The sequence below is a fragment of the Homo sapiens genome, chromosome 6 (genome assembly GCF_000001405.40).
Source record: "Homo sapiens chromosome 6, GRCh38.p14 Primary Assembly".
Classification (NCBI taxonomy): domain Eukaryota; kingdom Metazoa; phylum Chordata; class Mammalia; order Primates; family Hominidae; genus Homo; species Homo sapiens.
Genome location: NC_000006.12, coordinates 17,937,773 through 17,960,688, shown reverse-complemented (window position 1 = coordinate 17,960,688; position 22,916 = coordinate 17,937,773). Strand labels below are relative to the sequence as shown.

General features: G+C 39.3%; 1 protein-coding gene and 1 pseudogene across 5 annotated transcripts in view, besides 1 other annotated feature; one reads left to right on the top strand and one right to left on the bottom strand.

Annotated features, from left to right (window-relative positions):
- The window catches only part of KIF13A (kinesin family member 13A), a 228,510-nt gene that overhangs the window by 26,947 nt on the left and 178,647 nt on the right, over positions 1-22,916 (top strand). The window contains exon 3 of one of the 5 annotated variants that reach the window (NM_001243423.2): positions 9,260-10,283. The exons of the other annotated variants lie outside the window; for them this stretch is intronic. Coding sequence (NP_001230352.1) covers positions 9,260-9,326 — 67 coding nt within the window. The 3' untranslated portion in view covers positions 9,327-10,283. Of the gene's footprint in view, positions 1-9,259; positions 10,284-22,916 lie in introns of those variants that run through there. 5 annotated transcript variants of the gene reach the window in all.
- Positions 6,747-7,120, bottom strand: RPS12P12 (ribosomal protein S12 pseudogene 12; annotated as a pseudogene).
- Positions 20,252-20,751: an enhancer, noted in NCBI's record as "H3K4me1 hESC enhancer chr6:17940169-17940668 (GRCh37/hg19 assembly coordinates)". NCBI's record gives its function as "activates a minimal SCP1, AML or CMV promoter by ChIP-STARR-seq in primed H9 embryonic stem cells {active_cell/tissue: H9 hESC(primed)}" and the evidence as "EXISTENCE:reporter gene assay evidence [ECO:0000049][PMID:30033119]".

The following is a 22,916-nucleotide window of genomic DNA, read 5'->3' as shown; positions in this document are numbered from 1 at the left end:
CCATGGTCCCTTTGGATCAACTTAAAAATCTCACCTCCTCCTGAGAGATGATGCTCTCGATATATCCCCTGGGTAAAGGAAGGAGCTGCCCTGTACCCCAACCCCAACTATAACTGATATAAGAGGATCCCTCTTTGGGTAATAGTATTGAAGGTTATTACCCCAAAATGGTCACTGATTTGTTAGCCAGGCTGATCACATTCATAAATGCATAGTTAATACATAGAAAGAGATACCTATTTGTGGGGAGAGTTTGCTTAGCAAAAACATCTTGGTTTTAAAGTTTAGCAGTGTTATTTTTAGTTATAATTCATTTGTTAAGTTTAGTCAACAAACATTGGTGCCCAGAGGCTGGTCCATTAGTGTTTCCAGTTAAGGCAAAATCCAAAATTATTTTTTATACTCGCTCTCTTTTTGCTACTCTCAAAGAATGTTTACTTTTTTTTAGTTACTAAAGAGTGATTTTCCCTTTGACTCATAACCTTTTTTTATGATTTTACCTTGTTGGCAGATTTTTAACTCCTAAAATTTCCCCATGGGTTGAGGAATCACAAATGCCATTCAAAATGAATGCATGATAAACCTTTTTCTAGCCACCATTTGGGGAGGACATGTTAATTGGTGAGAACTGAGAGTTTTGTTTTTTGTTGTTGTTTTTTTTTTTTTGAGGTGGAGTTTTGCTCTTATTGCCCAGGCTTGAGTGGAATGGCGCGATCTCGGCTCACCACAACCTCCGCCTCCCGGGTTCAAGCGATTCTCCTGCCTCAGCTCCCAAGTAGCTGGTATTACAGGCATGCGCCACCACACCAGGCTAATTTTGTATTTTTAGGAAAGACGAGGTTTCTCCATGTTGGTCAGTCTGGTCTCGAACTCCTGACTTCAGGTGATCCGCCGGCCTCGGCCTCCCAAAGTGCTGGGATTACGGGCGTGAGCCACTGCGCCCAGCCGAACTGATAGCTTTTAATTGAATAAGGAAAGCTACCATTAGATGTCCCTGACTTTCATGTTTATTTTGGGTTAATGTGGAGGTTTAGGAAATATAATTGAAAATAATCAATTCTGCCTGAAGAGGAGTACTCTCTACTTGTTGATACAGAAGGTGTTGAGATCATTTTATTTTAGAGTTGTTTACACTGACTGCCTGTTTCTATCCAGTTTATTTTTCTAAGAATACATTCTTTCCTCTGCTGCTTTCCAACCCTTGACTCTTATGTGTTCCTACAGAGAAACATCTGGTGTTCCGAGAACTTTATTTTTGGTGGCAATGGAATATTTTATAAAACTCTTTTTTTGCATTGCATCTCCCAAACATAATGTAGTGTAAGTAATAAAGAGTAATTTGCAAATGTATTTAAAATGCATTGCTTTGTATGGGCATGGCTATTTTTCATGCAGTCTCTATAACATAGATGAGGCTGTCTCTAGAAGCTCTTATGAAGCTTCAGGCATGATGTCAGTTTTGCTTGTCATTGTATACCTAGCACGGAGTAAACATTGAATGAATGATAAGATGTATGTAGCTCCTTAAACAGTGACCTATATATGACTTACAGTAATTTTTTTATTTAGAGATAAATGACACAGCCTGGGCAAGATAGTGAGACCCCATCTCTACAAAATATAAATTTTAAAAAAAATTAGCCTGGCATGGTGATTACTTGGGAGGCTACTTGGGAGCTACGTGGGAGGCTGAGGCGGGAGGATTGCTTGAGCCTGGAAGATAGAGGTGGCAGTGAGCTATGATTGCACTACTGCACTCTAGCCTGGGCACAGAGTGAGACCCTGTCTCAAAAAAAAAAAAAAAAAAAAAAAGAAAAAGAAAAAGACACACAAATGTTAGCATTGTCAACATGGTTTTATAATTGGATTTTTATGTATTGAATAAGTAGTAGATGAAAATCAGTTTTGCATTCGGATGAATACAACACCTTGACAATGGATTAGATGGAATAAATGGAATTAAAGTATAAGAATAAATCATATAATTGAAATATCACATTGTATATTCAAGGTGAAGATGAAGAAATGGAATAAAACTGTCAAATTTGAAACATGAGGATAGTTGATAAAAGAAGTAAACTGCTGTTCAAATACATATTGTCTTTGCGTGTCACAATTCAAATAACAGCTGTACTACATCTATAGAGAATACTTTTTACTATATATAGCTTCTAAACGAATGTTATAAGCCACAGACTGTGTATTTGCCTATTTATAGATATTTTACTTAGCAATTTCAGTTACTCAGAAGTTTGATGTATCTAACTAGATATAGTCAGATGTGTGCTGTCCAGAACACCATATGCAAACATAAGTATTCTTAAAAAGCAATTGGGAGGAACATTACTGCTGAGAGGAATGGACAGCCAGAGAATATTTTTTAGGGAAGAATTTTTGCAAACCCCTTCAGTATCTTTTGAGGAATTTAGGTTGATTTGATGATCATCTAGCGATAGTAGATGAAATTAATGCCACCAAAGACAAATTGCAATTGATTAGAATGGCTGGTGAGTAAAACCCTCCTTGTGCCTGAGGTATAATTGTGAGTGGCAGCTTAGCAGCTTGTAAAGGCGGGTGTCTATTATATGAGAAGCTTTTTATTTCTGTGTCAGTTTATCAGACTGAAGCTGCTTCAAAAGCAGGGTTTGGTGAGAGCTTTTAGAGACATTTCACCATTGAAAATGTTTTCTGTGACTGTTTCCTAGAGGAAGGCTGGTCTAAACCTCAGGCTGTTCTTTTAAAGTGTTTTGAAAAAGTATGTGAAGTCATTGTCATGTTAAGCTTTATGACAATGTGAAGAGGAAAAACACCAAACAACTCTGTCTGGCCATGAGACACATCATGTCTTTAAATATTGTGATAAGCCTGTGTTTTGCAGAAAACTCAAATTGTGTTTTCCCTCTGCTCTCACACCACAACAAGCAACACAGAAGACTTCTGTGGCCAAATGTCTTGGGGTTTTCCCCCACCAACAAGCAGTGAACACCAGCTGGGTGTCCTCTGATTCAGTTCTGACAGTGTCTACTCAGAGATAGTGTCAGATCCCACGGGTTGAGGGCTCAGTCCCACAAGACTGCCCCCCTGTTTTAAACATCAGTCACAAGTCTGGGCTTCTGGAACTTCTGACCTACCAGCTTCAAGTTGGGGTTTCCAGGACCCCTTCTTTGGGTTTGATTAATTTGCTGGAGAGGCTCACAGAACTCAGGGGAGCACTTATATTTACCAGTTGATTATGAAGGTTATCTTAGAGGATACAAATAAACAGCCAGATGAAGAGATACATAGGGCGAGGTCTGCAAGGGTCCCTATCCCTAGCACAGGAGCTTGTGTCCCTGTGGAGATGGGGTACACCACCCTCCCAGCATGTGAACGAGTTCTTTTTCACTGTCCTGTCTGCTGCCTCCATGTGCTCAGTGATCTGGAAGCTCTCCAAACTTTGTGCTTGAGGGTTTTTATGGAGGTCTTGTTATATAGACATGATTGAATATGGATGGCATAAAAAAGTGGGACCTGGTGCGATGGCTCACACTTGTAATCCCTGCACTTTGAGAGGCCAAGGCGGGCAGATCACTTGAGGTCAGGAGTTCGAGACCAGCCTGGCCAACATGGTGAAACCCTGTCTCTACTAAAAACACAGGAAATTAGCCAGGCATGGTGGTGGGTACCTGCAATCCCAGCTACTTGGGAGGCTGAGGCAGGAGAATCACTTGAACCTGGGAAGCAAGGTTGCAGTGAGCCAAGATTGTACCACTGCACTCCAGCCTAGGCTACAGAGTGAGACTCCGTCTAAAAAAAAAAATGTGATTGAACAGAAAGGTTGTGATCTCATACTAGTAGACTGAGTGGGGAAACTCAGCAAGGCCTGTCTGTGTTAGTTCCTTCTTGGCCTCTCTATGCAGCATTTCTTCCTCCAGAGTATAGAGCAGGACCCTCTCTGGAATGAGGATTTTTTTTTGACCCACAGCCAGATTAGAGGACAGGAGAAGGTCGGCGAGAGAGAATCTATTCCCTGAGGCCTCCTCCTGAGACCTAAAGCACCCCAACATTATAGCAAAGGACTGTAACAAGGGGTATGGGAGTTATGAGCCAGGAACCATGGACAAAAACCAATATATGTCTATCACCATAATATCACAGCCTAACACCACCTTTGCTGCTTAGGCATAACTTGCCTCCCTACCTAGATAGTAAATCTCTTGCATATTGGGTTTGTTTCCATCTTGGTTGCTTTTGCAGTGCTAGGCACAAAGTAGATGATGGACAAGACTGCTAATCAGGGAGGACCACAAACAGGTGGCACTTGGCTGCATGGTTGATGGTCTTTGAAAAAGTGTGCACATGCTGGATTTTTCTGGACCTTCTTTGTAATGGACCTATTGTTGAGTCTAATAACAGAGCAGTAGTTAAAGGCACAGACTCTGGAGCCAGATTGAAAGTAAATCCTAGCCTTTTCACTTATTACTGTGTGATCCTGGATGAGTTACCTGTCCTCTCCATGCCTCAACTTCCTCATTTGTAAATGAGGATGATAATACCTGCATCTTACGGATGTAAGGTTAAATGAGCTACCACTTGATGAGTCCTTAGAACGGAGCCTGGCACTGTGAACCTAAGTCCGTTGCTTTGCTTGCTGTTCACACTCAAAATGCTTGACTGTAGATTTAAAGCAATGTTAATAGACTTTTTAAAAATTGTGCTTAAGATCTGGAAAATATGGCAGTCTTTTCAGGAAAACCTGTATACAAGAATAACAGTCACTATTAGTGTCATCATCTTTAAATATAAAAGACAGTGGTTGATGGGATGCATAAATTTGCATGTATTTAGGCAAAAATGTAGATGTGTGAACACAAATTGGCATGAATTACCTGTAGAGGTTAATGCATGGAAACAAACTACACTGAATTGGTGCAGCCTTATCCTGAGACTCTGAAAGGAGTCACAGAAAATAGGAAATTGCCATCTTATAGACTTAGCATACAGTTTCTTTGCTTTAGTAAACCATGACTTTGTCTTCAATATTATCTCATCCAAACAACCAAATCATTAAGATTAGTTGCACTGCTGTTCTTAAATAAGACAAATTTAAACCCAGAAATGGCTACTTTTTGTATTACATCCAATATAGTGAATGCACATTGTCTTATGGGCACAAGAAAATCACTTCTTCAAATATATTTGTGGAAATTATAGGGAAGATTTTACTTATTGTATAGGTAATTTGTTTGGTCAGATATCCAAATTGGTGTGAAGTGGCAAAAGTCTACATGAAGCTTTGCCCTATCAGTTACTCAAGGGAGCACTTCACAAATGAAAGAAGGCAGAGTGGGTGTTGAATTGGTAGAATAGAGTTTGTTATTGTTATTGTTATATTTAAATCAAAACAGGTAGAAACCCAGGTTCTTGGTTCTAGTCCTGGCTTCGCTACTAATAGAAGGATCTGGAGTAACTTTAACACCTGTGGAAACTAGTGTCCGTTTGTACATCAAGGAGATTAGACCAGATCAATTCTCATATTCAGTGATTCTGAATGTAAAGACATGTATAGTAATACTTGTAGGCCAGGTGCCGTGGCTCACATCTGTAATCTCAGCACTTTGGGAGGTGGCGGCAGGAGGATCGCTTGAGCCCATGAATTCAAGACCAACCTGGGCACCAGCATTTTTTGTAGAGAGATATTCCATCTCTACAAAAAAAGTTTTTTTAAATGAGCCTGGTGTGGTGGCACACACCTGTAATGCCAGTGCTTTAGGAGGCCAAGGTGGAAGGGTTACTTGAGGCCAGGAGTTTGAGACCAGCTTGGACAACATAGCAAGACCCCGTCTCTTAAAAAAATTTTTTTTCTTAATTAGCCAGGTGTGATGCTGTGTGCCTGTGGTCCCAGCTACTCAGGAGGCTAAGGAGGGAGGATCCCTTGAGCCTATGAGTTTGAGGCTACAGTGAGCTATGGTCGCAACACTGCACTCCAGCCTGGTCAAGAAGAGTGAGATCCTGTCTCTAACAACAATATAAACAATAACAAAAAATCCTTGTAAAAATGCATGTAATAGACAATTTAGTTTTGGGTTGTGAAAATGTCTTATAAAGGAAGATATAATATTGAAAAGAATGTAAAATCAGGTTATTAATATGAAAACTAAGAAAAATTTTTCCAGAGAAGCCTAATATTATATTTTAAATTATGCTGTGTATTATACTTAAAATGTAACACTGGTAGCTTATTTAGTCAGCTGTTATTTATTGAGCAGCTAGTCTAAGGGATGAGGGGATTTGTGAAAACCTTCAATCACCTACTCCCTAAAAGGGGGAAGATGTGGTCCTTGAGCTATATGAGTTTATTAGATGTTAGAAAAATGCTGATCTGATTTTTTTTTTTTTTTTTTTTGAGATGGAGTCTCGCTCTGTTGCCCAGGCTGGAGTGCAGTGGTGCCACCTTGGCTCATTGCAAGCAAGCCCGCCTCCCAGGTTCACGCCATTCTCCTGCCTCAGCCTTCGGAGTAGCTGGGACTACAGGTGCCCGCCACCACACCTGGCTAATTTTTTTGGTATTTTTAGCAGGGACAGGGTTTCACCGTGATAGCCAGGATGGTCTCCATCTCCTGACCTCGTGATCTGCCTGCCTCGGCCTCCCAAAGTGCTGGGATTACAGGTGTGAGCCACCGCACCCAACCGATCGGATTGTTTTAAATCTGTTTCGAAGAAAAAAAAATTTTTTTTGAGGAATGTGAGCAAAATTTTTTATTTGTTCATTTCTTGCATTTGAAGTACTCTTCAGTGACATCCTTGACCTGAGATTCTTTGCCATAGTCCTACAGCACAACTGCACAATTGCAACCAGCCACTTTACAGAGTTTTTCCTTTGTCAGTTTTACAGAAGCCTACCTATTCCCCTAGTCTCCTGTCGTCATCAGCCTTAATTAGGTTGATTTGGTATTCAGCGCAAAGGGCCTGCACCAACTTGATATACACAGGCTCATCGTAGTTGGGTGCAAACACACAAAGATGGGCTCGGTGCTTGTCTAAAGTTGCCAGCTTTGTGAATTCCACGTGCTAGGCCATCCTCATGTAAAGCAGTATTAACATCCATGACACCAGCAGCAGCAGTGCCTTCTTCGGCCATGCCGGTGGTTTACTGGTGATAGGGAATCTTCAGCGCACCCAAGCCTCTGCCTCTGAACTTGGTGGAGGCAGAGAAAGAACCCAAGGAATTTCTGTAATTTCCATTACATGACATCTGGGGCTTTAAAGATTTTTTTTTTCCCCTGCTTTTCTTCCTGGTTAAGAGAGGAGAAATAATAAAAAATCTCCTTTCTTCCCTTTTACTGTCTAAGAGTAATCATTCCTAAAAGTTTGGAGTGTATTCTTTGAGAAAGAGAGAATATGGGTGTGTGTTCAGGTACCCGTGTATATGTATGTATGCATATGTTTTGCATAAATAATATCATCTATATGAACTGTTCTCTAACCTGCTTTTTTAACTTAACAGAATAATGCCTTCCTTTCCATGTTAATAGATGGGTGTCTACCTCGTTCTTTTTAATTGCTATATTATATTATATGGATGAATGATAATTTCTTTGCTTAATCCCCTAATGATGGACATTTAGAGTGTTTCCAATTTTTCACTGTAAACAGTGCTCCAGAAAGCATCATTAATATATTCCTGTTATACCCCTGTTAACCATCTCTCCCCTCCGGTCCTCTCTTCTTCTCCTCTTCCTCTCTTCCCCTCTTCGCTTCGCTTCTCTTTTTTTTTTTTTGGAGACAGTCTTGCTCTGTCGCCCAGGCTGGAGTGCAGTGGCGCTATCTCGGCTCACTGCAAGCTCTGCCTCCCGGGTTCGCGCCACTCTCCTGCCTCAGCCTCCTGAGTAGCTGGGGCTACAGGCGCCCACCACCACACCTGGCTAATTTTTTGTATTTTTAGTAGAGACAGTGTTTCACCGTGTTAGCCAGGATGGTCTCAATCTCCTGACCTCGTGATCTGCCTGCCTCAGCCTCCCAAAGTGCTGGGATTACAGGCATGAGCCACCACGCCCGGCTTTTCTTTTCTTACAGAGTCTCTCCCTGTCACCCAGACTGGAGTGCAGTGAGTGGTGTGGTCATAGCTCACTGTAGCCTCAAACTCCTGGGCTCAAGGGATCCTCCGACCTCAGCCTCCTGAGTAGCTAAGACCACAGATGCGAGCACACTACTAAGCCTTGCTAATTTTTAAATTTTTTGTAGAGGCAGAATCTTGCCATGTTGCCCAGCCTGGTCTCAAACTCCTGGCCTCAAGCGATCCCCCAACCCCAGCCACCCGCAGTGTTGGGTTTACAGGCATGAGCCACCACACCTGGCCAATTATTTTCTTAATATAAATTATATTTTCTTTTTTTTTTTTTTTTTGAGACGGAGTCTCGCTCTGTCACCCAGGCTGGAGTGCAGTGGCGCTATCTCGGCTCATGGCAAGCTCTGCCTTCCGGGTTCATGCCATCTTCCTGCCTCAGCCTCCCGAGTAGCTGGGACTACAGAAGCCTGCCACCATACCTGGCTAATTTTTTTGTATTTTTAGTAGAGACGGGGTTTCACCATGTTAACCAGCATGGTCTCCATCTCCTGACCTCATGATCTGCCCACCTCGGCCTCCCAAAGTGCTGAGATTACAGGCGTGAGCCACCACGCCCGGCAAACTATAGTTTCTTAATATAAATTAGGAAAAGACTATGAGCATTTAAATTGTAAATATAAATTGCCAAATTGCTTCTACAAAAATTGTAAATAAAGGTATTTTTTGGAAGGCTACAAAAAATTCTTTTAAGAAAAAAGATTTTTGTAATGAGTCACCAAATGTCCATCAACTGATGAAGAATATGTGATATATTCATACAGTGGAATTTATAAAATGGATTAAAGTGGTGACATGCCATATATAACATTGATGAACTTTTTGTAAACATAACATTAAGTGAAATAAGCAGTCATAAGGAACCATGTATTGTATGATTCCATTGATGTGAAATGTCCAGAGCAGACATATTCGTGGAGACAGAAAGTAGATTAATGGTTGCCTAGGCTTGGGGGAATTGGGGGAAATGGAGAGTGACTGCCGATGGATATGGCATTTTTTGAGGGGGGTATTGAGAATGTTCTGCAGTTGTGGTGATAGCCACATAACTCTGTGAATATGCTAAAAATCACTGAATTGGACACTTTTAGTGGGTAAATTGTATGGTATATAAATTATATCTTAAAGCTGTTTTTTTTTTTTTTTTAAATTGAGGCTGGTCACAGTGGCTCACATCTCTAATTCCAGCACTTTGGGAGGCCAAGGCAAGAGGATCACTTGAGCCGAGGATTTCAAGACCAGCCTTTGCAACATGGCAAAACCCCATCTCTACAAAAAATTTGTTTAAAATTAGCTGGACGTGGTGGCGCATACCTGTGGTCCCAGCTACTCAGGAGACTGAGGCAGGAGGCTCCAGTGAGCTGTTTGAGCCACTGCACGCCAGCCTGGGTGACAGAGCCAGACCCTGTCTTCAAAAAAATAAAAAATTAAAGTGGCGTGAGGTGAATTGCATCAGACCCCACATATGAATAAATGGATGGTTGGCAAAGTGTTATATATAATAAGTACAATTCCTTAGGTGTCCTTAGGTGTACTACTAAAGTGGGTTTGTGATAGCCCATATATTTAGTCATTTATGTTCAATAGTGTTATATTCATTTGAGAAATTATTTTAAGAAATTTAAAATTAAGAAAGTTTTAAAAGTCCTTTAGTAATTAGAGATTTCTCTGGGTGGGTGGATACGGTTGTTTCTAATTATCCCACACATTTAATCATTTATGTTCAATAGTGTTGTATTTTTTGAGAAATTATTTTAAGAAATGCAAAATTAAGAAAGATTTAAAAGTCCTTTAGTAATTAGAGATTTTTCTAGTTGGGTGGATAAGGGTTATTTCTAAGTATCTTTTGAGTATTTTTTGTCATATATTTCGTTTTTTAGGCATGATTAAAAGTGTATTTGAGGACTCTTAGACACATAAAGTTGAATTCCTCAGATTGAGAGATAGTTATTGCTTTTTAATTTTGTTAAGATGCTCAGCTGTTGGATAAATAATGCTTTTGTTAAAATCCTGTGGGGCATTCATCCAACAAATGGGGTATAAGAAAGGAATGTGTGTTTGTGTACATGTTCTTCTATCTGTTGGTCCTAAAGAGTGTAAGAAGGTAAATTTGACCAGTGAAATTCATAATTACAGAGTTTTATTTGGTAATCCATTAATAAATCATTTTCTGAAAGCACATGTCTGTGAGTCATTATATTTTTAATCTTCTTTTCCTCTAACCAAATATATAAGGTTTGTGCTTAGATTTGTTTAAATCCCTTCTGGTTTGTTTGAACTGAATCAGCTTGTTCTCAGCTCTTCTTTTACTTATATATGAGGAAGCAGAGATTTGTAATTTTGTATTTATGGAGATCAACAGGAAAAATCAGATACTCACACTCTGAGACTCTGCCAGATGTAATTTACATTTGAACAAGGATTTACAAAATAACATGGATTAAGTTAAACAATTAGAGCAGTATGCCACAGACTATATATCCTAGGAAAACTATTTGGGTCAGTAGTTTTTGTTTTCAACAGACCCTTGCATTGTGAGTGCCCAGTAAATTGGTTGTAATTAATAATTGTCCCAGTACAAGTCTTTGTTTAGGAATAAGGGAGCTAGCTAAAGTAAGTTTGTGACTGCATTTTGTAGGAAATATGTTAGTTAATCAGTGTGTTTTATGAATGTGAAAATCATTATAATTATTACTTTTAAAACCACCAATAGTGCATTTGTTATCTCTTAACTCTGTTTAGAAGACCTCTTAGTTTGTCATTCTTTAGGCTTAAAAACTCGAGTTGGCACTTGTTTTTTTATTACTGTATATGCAGTATAATGACTGTGTAGTGCAGGACATTTAAACTGAAGGCAGTGAACCCCCTGACATTAAAAGTAAAAGTGTGTGTATGCATATACAATTTCTAAGAGTGAGACTTCATGTCTTTGATCAAAATTTCAAAGGCTTCTGAAACTCTAGAAAATTAAGAACTGGTGACAGGTGTATTTTGTGATGTTGTTTAGAAGTATGTTTTTCTTTTCCTTTCCTGTCTCCTCTTTACCCCTTAAGAGACCTGCACTAACAACTAAATACATTTAGAGACCCTGTATGCAGTTAAGGTCTCCAGACAGTCACAGTTGTTTATATTAAAGTGCTGAAATATATCAGCAGCTACTTACTATTTCTCTAATCACTCAGTAGCCAGAATTAAAATGTTGATGGTGTCTTTAATTCATAGCAGGAGGGCTTTTGTGGTTACTGTAATAAATATTAAACAGAGCCTTCTCCAAAGCCATTGGTCACATGCTTTGTCCCACTAGTAATTAACTTATCATTGAGCTATGGTACACTCTGGCGACTTTTTCCTAAAAGATTTATTTTGACAAACCAGGGCACGATAAATTTTTCTATGAAAAGTGCCTTTTTGACCCAGAGGAGACTAATGCAAATTTGTAATGAGCTATGATGTATAGTGGTCGGCGAGTTTTAGCATCTCCTTTGAGATGGTGTACATTCCCCTCTCATCTGATCTTATTTTTCTTTAGATCATGTTGTATATTGTACATTTGACATGTGTATTCATATTGAATATAATGTAAGAAAGGCAAAAGACTGTTTATTGTTAGTCGAAAAGTATTTATTAGAGTGTAGATTTTGCTTTCAAAGGGCTTATGCTCACTCGCTATTGCATAACCTGTTTATACTATCAGTATAAAAAAGGAAAAAAGATGTTTGGGCCAGGCGAGGTGGCTCATGCTTGTAATCTTAGCACTTTGAGGGGCCGAAACGGGTGGATCATTTGAGGTCAGGAGTTTGAGACCAGCCCAGCCCAGCCAACATGGTGAAACCCCATCTCTACAAAAAATACAAAAATTAGCCGGGCATGGTGGTGGGTGCCTGTAATTCCAGTTACTCGGGAGGCTGATGCAGAGAATCGCTTGAACCTGGAGGCAGAGGTCCCAGTGAGCCGAGATCACGCTGCTGCAGTCCAGCCTGGACGACAGAGTGAGACTTGTCTCAAAAAAAAAAAAAAAAAAAAAAAAGTAAATGGATGTTATGTGGTACTGTGTCAAATTTGGGAGCCAAAATGTTTCTCTTCCCTGTTCATGTAGCATAACTTATTTTGCTTTAGAAAAGCTACAGTGTTAAGAGAGTGAGTTAACTTCTGTCATTTTTTCTGAAGTTGGGAGTAATTTGACTCTGTATTTTATTTTCCAAAGAAAACTGTGCTCTTTTAAAACAGAAATTTGTTCATCTACAGAGTCTTCTCCCAAAGTGCCACCACTTTTGGTGCCATGTAAAACCACTCGACTACTCAGTGACAATTAACTTTAGCCTAGGACACTTTGGTAATGAATCTCTTCAAGTCAAGTCTGTTCTGATCCTTCAGTCTGGCTATTTCAGCATCTTTTAGTCTGAGACCAGTCAAGGGAGAGCAAGTAACTCGGTTATGTGATTTATTAAAATAAAAACAAAATAGAATAGAAAAAAGTAGGATAGAGGCATTAAAAGTATATTCTCAGTATTAAATGATGTTTCCTGTGCTGAGTTTCTAGTCTCTCCTTGGACAACACAATTTTAATTTTGAAAAAATAAGTTGCAAGAATAGCAGACTTACACATTTTAAAGCTTTGCTGCATTTGCCTTATCAAATATTTGTGGAAAAAATATAATTTATTTTTTGAACTCTTTGAGAGTAGGTGAAATACATCATACAGCCCTTTAGCCCTTAATACTTGGTGTGCTTTCTTTTTTTTTTTGAGCAGAGTTTTGCTCTTGTCACACAGGCTGGAGCGCAATGGCGCAATCTCGGCTCACTGCAACCTCCACTTCTTAGGTTCAAGTGATTCTCCTGCCTCAGCCTCTTGAGTAGCTGGGATTACAGGCACCCGCCACCATGCCTGGCTAATTTTTTTTTGTATTTTTAGTAGAGATAGGGTTTCACCGTGTTGCCCAGGCTGGTCGGCTGGTCTCAAACTCCTGACCTCAGGTGATCCACCCACCTCGGCCTCCCAAAGTGCTGGGATTACAGGCGTGAGCTACCACGCCCAGCTCTTGGTGTATTTTCTAAGACTATTACCAAATTCAGGAAATTTAACAGGCAACGAAGTTTTGAACTTTTGAAGTTAAGAAGGAAGCTGAAAGGAAAAGTAGCTAGCCTTAATTATTAGGTATTATCAAATTTTGCTAAAATAAGTTTATTCTCCTTATGTTGATCTTTTAAAAATAGAAGTATTTAAATTTGCTTTATTTAAAAAATTCATTGCATGTATAATAAAGAAGTATATAACTTATATATTTGGTTTCAACAGTTAAGAAAAAAATGTAAGTACCTTGTATCACCACCCAACTTGTACTTTTTTGTCTCTTATATCACTTATTCCCATTTCCACTCCTTCCCATTGTACCTGTGAAAGGAAATGACTATCCTGAATTTTATATTTATTTTCCTTAGTTTTCTTTATAATTTAACAACTTTAATATTATATTTGCCTGGTTTTAATATTTTTGTAAATGGAATGCTACTTTTTGAACTTTTCGTCACACTTTATTTGCTCATCTGTTTTTAAAATAGCTTTATTGAGGTATAATTTACATATAATAAAAATTCACCCATTTTAAGTGTACAGTTTCGATGAGCTTTGATAAATGTATATACAGTTGTGCAACCGCCTGCACAGTCAACTTTGTTCTTGAGATTCATTTGTCCGTGTTGATGCACGTAGCTGAATTCACTTTTGCTGTTGCATGGTATTCCATTGTATGAATATACTACAGTTCATCCTTTCATTGTTGATGGACATTTGGGTAGTTTCCAGTTTGGGGCTTTTATGAACAGTGCTGCTATGAACATTTGGATTGCTGGATCATAGCATATGTGCATGTTAAACTTTACTATGTGCATGTAAAATTGATTTCCTAAGTAGTTAATATCACTAGTAGTATAAGATAATGACAGTACTTAATATTATCAGAGTTTAAAATTTTTACTGATGCAGAGCATGTGAAATGATATTTTATTGTGGTTTTAATTTGCATTTCCTGCATAAAAGTGCAACGGAACATCTTTTCATATATTTTATCGGCCATTCATTTGTTTTCTTTTGAAAAGCACCTGCTCTCTTTTTACTCATTTTCTCTTTTTTGTTTTTTTTTTGGCCTTTTAAAATTGATTCCTTGGTGTTACTTATATATTGTGTATATTAATCTTTTGTTATATGCAAAATCTTTTTCCAGTTTGTGGATTCTGTTTTTGCTTGGTTTTATTTATTTTCTGATTATTAGAAGTTCTGATTTTTAAAATAGCGAAGTTTACCCTTTACTTTTAAGATGGATGCTTTATCAGCTAAATGTGGTGGCTCATACCTGTAATCCCAGCACTTTGGAAGGCTGAGGTGGGAGGATCGCTTTGAGCCCAGGGGTTCAAGATCAGCCTTGGCAACAAAGCAAGACTTCATCCCTATTTTTTTTAAAGGGTTAATGCTGTATGTGTCATGTTTTTAAAAGTTCTTCTCTAAGCGCATACAAATACTCTCTTATACCTTCTAAAAGTCTTAAGCTTTACAATTCACATTTAAATCCTTGAAATTTATTTTTTTAAACAGTATGAAGTAGAGATTAATTTCGCCCCATCAAGATAACCTATTATCCTGGCACTATTTATTGAATAGTCCAGCCTGATCTTTGATACTGGTTCTATCAGACTAGGTTTCCAGATAACTGAGGATCATTTTCAGGGCCGTCTCTTCTGTTTCGGTGTTCTGTTTGTCTGTCTCTGAGGCAGTGCCACACTGCAGTACTGATAACTGTAGGACCAGTTTCTTCATTGTGTTCTGCTATAGGGGTGGCTTGGTCATTCTTATAGATGCCATTAAAAACTATTTTGGGATTGCACTGGACACATAGTTCAATGTGAAAAGAATTGGCATCTTTACAGTGTTGGATTTTCTAATTTGAAAACATGGTATATCTGTTTATTTAGTTCTTCTTTAGCAATAAAAATTTTACATAAAAACATCTTTAAGGTTTTTGCATCTTTTTTGTTAGATTTGTATCTGGGTACTTAAAATTTTTTTTTCTATCACAAGTGGTATTTTAATTTTTTTAATTGAAGTATAATATGATGCATGCATTTTTTTCTGTATGTATGCTGAATTTTCAAGTTAAACTCCGGACCTAGATCAAAAAATAACATTAGCAGCTCCCTAGAAACAATCCTCTTGTTTCTTTCCTGTTACTAACATCCCCAAGGGCTGCCACTGTCCTGACTTTTAAAATCATGAGTCAGTTTAGCCTATTTTGGCACCTTACATAAATGGAATCATACAGTATGTGCTCTTCTGTATCTAGCTTCTTTCGTTCAGTGTTATTTTTGTGATCATCTAGTTGTAGTTCCAGATTGTTCATTCTTATTGCTGTATGGTATTCAATTGCATAAATATACCAAAAGTAGTCACTTTTAACATTTTTAAAATACTTTTAATTTTTTAAATAGAGACAGGATCTTGCCGTGTTGCCCAGACTGGTCTCAAACTGCTGAGCTCAGATGATCCTTCCACCTTGGCCTCCCAAAGTGCTGGAATTACAGATGTGAACCACTGTGCCCAACCTAGAAGTGGTCATTTTAAGTTGCATTCTCTGTTTTCTTGTAGCTTAGAAATGCTGTCGACTTTAGTATATACTTACAGGCAGTAACTTTGTTAAATTCTCATTAATTCTGATATCTTTTTTTGTCTTGGCTTTTCTTTATAGATAGTAATTTTGTTTGCTAATGATAGTTTTTTTTCCCCATTGGTGTTTATATCTTTCATTTCTTTTGATCAAGAAGAGAAGCAAGCATAGAATAATCAGACGCAAAGATAATGGGTTATATATTTTATAAATAAATAGAAATATTTTCTTTAGATTTTGGAAGTGAAATTGAGCTGGAATTTCTACGTGTTTTTTGTTTCTGTTTTGTTTTATGCCCTGGGCTTCTGCTGCCTCTCAGTGCCTGTGTGGTTTAGACAGGGGGAGTTAATTTGGGGAGGAGTGGGACAAGAGGGGCCAGCTACTTTGTCTTTGGCCTCCTGTTCATGTGTGTGCAATTGGAGTTGAATCTTTTTCTGGAGGTCTTGATAAGCTGTCACAATTGGTTAATCTTTTCTTGGTTTATTAGTGCAGCTAGATAACCCAGGGTCAGGGAATGGTAACTTGTGTTCTAGCATATATGCTTGTTATTTAATGGAGTGTAAATGGATTTGGGGCATACTGAACTCAGGAGGGCACTCAGAAATGTGTTCCACTGTCCTGAGTTTTCATCTATAAGAACTTGAGTGTGTATGGATCAATTAACTGGAACTCCTCAGAAAACAGGGTGAAGTTTTGAAAGAAAGTTCAAGTTACATAAAGCATTGAATCACAAATTACTTTGTGATTTCTCAGAGGATGTCAGCGGTAAAGGCGGTAAGGCTCACATGTCAGATCTCCATGGGGAATTTTTATACCTACAAATTAAAGCCAAATTGATTACCCTGTATAGATAATAACGTAGAGTTGGAGATGCCACATAAAGAGAAAAATCTTCAGCAAGTGTGTAATTATTAGAAAACCATATACTTCTAGCTCATGATTCTTTTCTGCTTTGTGTTGGGTAGATGCAGAAAAGTTATAAGCATCAACTTAATGTGGTTGAGGCTTTCTGAACTGATCTCCATTTAACCAGTTCACTGCATTAACTGGTGTTCTCAACTCCTTCTATGACATAAGTCAACTGATGCTCATGCTGGGTGGGTTCGTTGACCATGGACATCCCAGTTGCATGCCACGCACTTCCACGCCTCCCCGTTGAGTTGTAAATTACCAAAACCAGTAGTATTTGGCTTTATAGAGTTTAGTTATTATGTAAATTGATATTATATGAACAGAAAAAATGTGCTTTCTGTGGAAGACAGAATCAGTGAAAGTGAATTCTCAAAATGTGCTTCCCAGATCAGCAGCATCAGAGTCCTCTTGAAACCTGTTAAAAATGCACATTCTCAGCCTCCACTCTAGACCTGTTATATCAGAAACTTGGCTGGGTGCGGTGGTTCACACCTGTAATCCCAGCACTTTGGGAGGCCGAGGCAGGTGGATCACCTGAGGTCAGGAGTTCGAGACCAGGCTGGCCAACATGGTGAAACCCTGTCTCTACTAAAAATACAAAAAAAAAAAAAAAAAAATCTGTGTTTTACCAAACTTTCCAGGTGATTCTGAAGCTTACTAACATTGGAGAATCACTTTCTAAAAAATACTGCCATCGAATTAAACACAGGAGAGAGAGGGATTATAAAAATAGAAGAGGTTTCTATACTCAGATTGTTTTTCAGTGACCAGTTCTTTATTCTCCTTAAAGAAACAGACATTGAAAATTCATAATGCATCATGGTGTAGTTTACATAGAAAAACAACCAGAACTCCATTCAGCAGACCATTCTCAAGGAAATGTACTTTGTGTCAGTCTAAAGATTGCAGAATGAACGAACTTTTAAATACTTTAAGTTAATGTAAAAACGTTTAAAGGTATAAGTACCCATTTTTATGATTCTCTGCTTTAATCTACTCTTTTTTTTGTTTTTTGTTTTTGTTTTTGTTTTTGTTTTTTGAGACAGAGTCTCACTCTGTCGGCCAGCCTGGAGTGTAGTGGCACAATCTTGGCTCACTGCAACCTCCATCTCCCAGGCTCAAGCAGTTCTCCTTCCTCAGCCTCCCGAGTAGCTGGGATTACAGGCGTGTTGACACCACGCCCAGCTAATTTTTGTATTTTTAGTAGAGATGGGGTTTCACCATGTTGGCCAGGCTGGTCTCGAACTCCTGACCTCAGGGTATCTACCTGCCTTGGCCTCGTAAAGTGCTGAGATTACAGGCGTGAGCCACTGCGCCCGGCCTAATCTACTCTTTAAACTCATTGTCCAGCTAGCCAAGCCTGTTTATAAGAGAGGAGGACTTTGACTATATTTGATAAATATAATAGCCAAGGCTGATAGGCACCCAGATATGCTGGAAGAGCTGTCAGCCAGTGTCTGTTATGAAATGTATTTCTGTTATGAAATGTATCTCATTTAATACTTGCTGCAACTTTATGAGGTAGGTACCCATTTTGCAGATGGGAGGGAGTGAAATTTGGAAATTATACAGCTAATTCAATGACAACACCAGAATTTAAACCTAGGCAGGCTTCAGATTGTTCTGGTGTGGCAAAGTCTAAATTTCAATGAACAGAAATATATATATATATATATATATATTTGTTGTTGTTGTTCTTGTTGTGTTTTGTTTCTTCAAGACAGGTCTCACTGTGTCACCCAGGTTGGAGTGCAGTGGCATGATCATGGTTCACTGCAATCTGGACTTCCTGGGCTCAAGTAATCCTCCTACCTCAGCCTCCCGAGTAGCTGGGACTATAGGTGTATGCCACCACGCCTGGCTAATTTTTGTGTTTTTTTATAGAGATGAGGTTTTGCCATGTTGTCCAGGCTGGTCTTGAACTCTTGGCGCTGAAGCAGTTTCCACCTCAGCCTCCCAAAATGCTTGGATTAGAGGTGTGAGCCACCACACCCAGCAGAAATATATATGTTGATATAGAATATTTTGCATTGGGTATTCAGAGAACAAGTTAATTTGACAGCTGTGGTGAGGCCTTCTAACACTCACCGTAAACTTTCCTATGTCCCAAAGTATCTCTAATAATAACGTTAATAATTAATAGTATATACAACCCATCCTTTTCTGAAGGAAAGTTCAGAACTTTCTTTAGAACATCTACTGTGAATTGGGAACCAAAAAAAAAAAAAGCAAATGTATTGGTATTGCTAGGGTTACCATAGCATAGTACCACAGACTGGGTGCCTTCAACATGGGTACCCATGTTGAAGGTTGAATATTTTCTCACTACCCTGGAGGCTGGAAGTCCGAGATCAAGGTGTGGGCAGGTTTGGTTTCCTCTGAGACTTCTCTCCTTGGCTTGTAGATGACTGTCTTCTCCCTGCGTCTTCTCATTGTCTTCCTTCTCTGTGTGTCTCTGTCCGGATTTCCTTGCTTATAAAGACACCAGTCATAATGCATTAGGTCCCATTGTAATGACATCATTTTAACTTTAACCTTTTTCAAGCTCCTATCTCCAGATGTCGCATTCTGAGGTACTGAGGGTTAAGGCTTCAATATGGAAATTTAGGGTGTGGGGACATGATTCCATTCATAACAATAGCTAAGATGCTTTTAGATATTTAGAGCTTCTCCCAAAGGTTGAGATCTTTGATTTTGATTTGAGATTTGAAAAACCTTGACTTTACTCTTTGATATAATTAGGGCAGAGTTCATAGCACCAGGCTATTTTAAATCCAGGTGACAGCAGCTTCTTAGTGGGTTTTAGGAGGGTAATATATTTGGGTAGCAGAATGGATTCTACCCTTCAAATACCAGTTAAAGCTTCTTTGATGATTTAGAATTACATATGTTGGGCCAGGTGCAATGGCTCACGCCTGTAATCCCAGCACTTTGGGAGGCCCAGGCAGGCGGATCACCTGAGGTCAGGAGTTCGAGACCAGCCTGATCAACATGGAGAAACCCTGTCTCTACTAAAAATACAAAATTAGCCAGGCATGATGGTGCATGCCTGTAATCCCAGCTACTTGGGAGGCTGAGGCAAGAGAATCACTTGAACCCAGGAGGCAGAGGTTGTGGTGAGCCGAGATTGCGCCATTGCACTCCAGCCTGGGCAACAGAGCCAAATTCTGTCTCAAAAAAAAAAAAAAAAAAAAAAAAAATAAATTTACATGTGTTAAGTCCTAACTAATTAAAAAGTTTGTCATAAAAAATTCTAACTACAGGAATTCTTGTTATGGGGGAAAATGTGTAACACTTGAAATGCAAATAATCTTCTTTTATATCAAGCTAATTATGCAGCCATTAGTTCAAGCCCTGCCTTCTGCTGTCTTTTATATATAGCTCTCCTGTGAGGTCTCTTCCTGAAAACTCTTCACTGGTCTGGTAAGGGGAACAGGGAATTCTCTCTTAACTCTGCTGCTGCCTCTTGAAAGAAGGAAACAATGACTGGAAAGATAAAATATGCTCTATCTGTGGTTGATTTTTGACCCCTAATTAGGTTTCATCTGTAGGTTCACTAACAGCGTTTTCCTACCATATGTAAAATTAAACAGTAATGCTTTCTCCATAACTTAATTTGCATGCTCGAATCCCTTGTGGATCAGCAGCATTAGCACACCCTGGGAGCTCATTAGAAATGCAGAAGCTCAGGACCCACCACGGATTTACAGAATCGAAGAATCTGCGCTTAATAGTGTTCCTGAAGCATCCGTATACATATTGAAGTTTAAGAAGCATTGTGCTGATGTACCTTCAAAACAGTGTTCCAAAAGAAGAAGAGGAAGAGGAGGAAAAAGGAGGAGGAGGAGGAGGAAAGGAAAGAAGGAAGGAAGGAAGGAAGGAACTTCCATATAGAGTAAATTCCCGATGTTGCCATGGCATTTGTAAATTGTCATGGTGGGTGAGACTATCTTTTTTTTTTTTTTTTTTAATTTATGAGACGGAGTCTCGCTCTGTCTCCCAGGCTGGAGTGTGTAGTGGCGCGATCTCGGCTCACTGCAAGCTCCGCCTCCCAGGTTCACGCCATTCTCCTGCCTCAGCCTCCCGAGTAGCTGGCACTATAGGCGCCCGCCACCACGCCCAGCTAATTTTTTGTATTTTTAGTAGAGACGGGGTTTCACCGTGGTCTCAATCTCCTGACCTAGTCATCCACCCGCCTCCGCCTCCCAAAGTGCTGGGATTAGAAGCGTGAGCCACTACGCCCGGCCAGGTGAGACTATCTTTTAACCTGCTAATGAATTATAATTAGCATATAATGAGCAGTGAAGATGACCAGGGGTCACTTTCCTTGCCATCTTGGTTTTGGTAGGTTTTAGCCGCTTCTTTACCTCATGCTGTTTTATCAACAAGGTATGTGTGATCTGTACCTTGTGCAGACCGCCTACCTCATCCTGTGACTTAGAATGCCTAACCTCCTGGGAATACAGACCAGTAGGTCTCAGCCTTATTTTACCCAGCCCTTGCTACATTCAAGAAGGAATCACTCTGGTTCTAATGCCTCCGACAGAATGGTCAGATTCTCAGACTCTAAAGCAAAGAAGACTATGTTCAGTGACAGCAAGACTGTTGAAGAAAAATAAACTCGAATGGCCTTGAGGAGCTATTATCAATAAAAACAGTATAACTTATAATTATCTGTTGTGTTACAATGAAGTATATCATCACTGCTGTACTGAATATTGGATTTCAGATGTAGCACTGAAACATCTGTTACTGAAATATGCACCAGAATGTCTTATGTATTCCTTGCAGGCATTGTTGTTTATAGAGGTCTTCTGTTGTTTTAGTGTTGTTAATATGTAGCAGATGCACAAGGAAAGGGGGAGGAAAGAGGAAAGGGCGGAAAGCGCCCTAAAGTGCCTTAGAGTTTTTCTGAGATTTAAATTTGTTTCTGTTTATACTTTTACTCAATTGGAGAAAATAATGGAGGTCTTGAAGGAATTTGTGCCAATTTGCTTACATAACTATTGCATATGTATCAGAGTTCAGTGACTCATCTCTTTACCATCATGGGGTTTTTGACATGCAAGGCTAGAAAATTTCATGAGATTGGTTGGCTAAATTGAACTGGTTTTGTAGAATGAATACATAAAAATTAGTGCATTCCTTATATAACAACACAACTTTTTCGTTGCTGGGTAAAAAAAAAAAAAAAAAAATTCACTCTAAGGCAGTGAAATTTTAAAGACTTTCAGTTCCAAGTTGATGATTTAAGGAAATCCTCCATGTACAGGAAGAAAATGGAGGAAAGAGATTTGTAAGTACCATGTTGAATCCATTATAGTTCAGAAAACGAAATACTAGATTCTGACATTTCAGTGAGATTTAGTTGTCAAATTTCTGGAAGGATATTTAAAAGTTCATGCTTCTTTATTCTTTATAAGAAGTTTGTTTTAGATCAAGTCATAAGCATATGTTTCCAGGCTGCCGCAATATAATAAGCCCAATTCTTCGTTAGGTGAGAAATTAGACTGGGCAACTGGAGAGGGTAGATGGTGTCCCCGTCTTTCAGGACCGTTCTATCTTCATGAAGCCCTTCATGATTTCTTCTGCCAGGAGCAATGTCTCCACCCTCCAACCTCCAGGAATGTTTCATACCTTTCTTATTACATTGGTCGTGTTTTGTGTGTGCTTGTTTCATTACCATTCTTTTTTCCTTCCTTCATTTGGTAGGTCTTTGTTGTCTTTGTTGAGCACTTATGTGTCAGACACTATGCTTTCTAATTGGGTTGTAATAAATCATGCATTAAATGTAGCAATTGCCACATTTAATAGCAGTCTAAAGGCCTGGCGTGGTGGCTCATGCCTGTAATCCCAGCACTTTGGGAGGCCTAGGTGAGAAGATCACTTGAGGCCAGGAGTTCAAGACCAGCCTTGGCAACATAGTGAGTCCCCATCTCTACAAAAAAAATTTTAAAATTATGTAATTAGGGCGGGGCACGGTGGCTTATGCCTGTAATCCCAGCACTTTGAGAGGCCGAGGCAGGTGGATTACCTGAGGTCAGGAGTTTGAGACTAACCTGGCCAAATGGTGAAACTTCATCTCTACTAAAAATACAAAACTCAACCGGGCGTGGTGTTGCACGCCTGTGGCCCCAGCTACTTGAGAGGCTGAGGCAGGAGAATTGCTTGAGCCTGGGAGGTGGAGGTTGCGGTGGCCGAAATTGTGCCACTGTACTCCAGCCTGGTCGACAGAGCGAGACTCC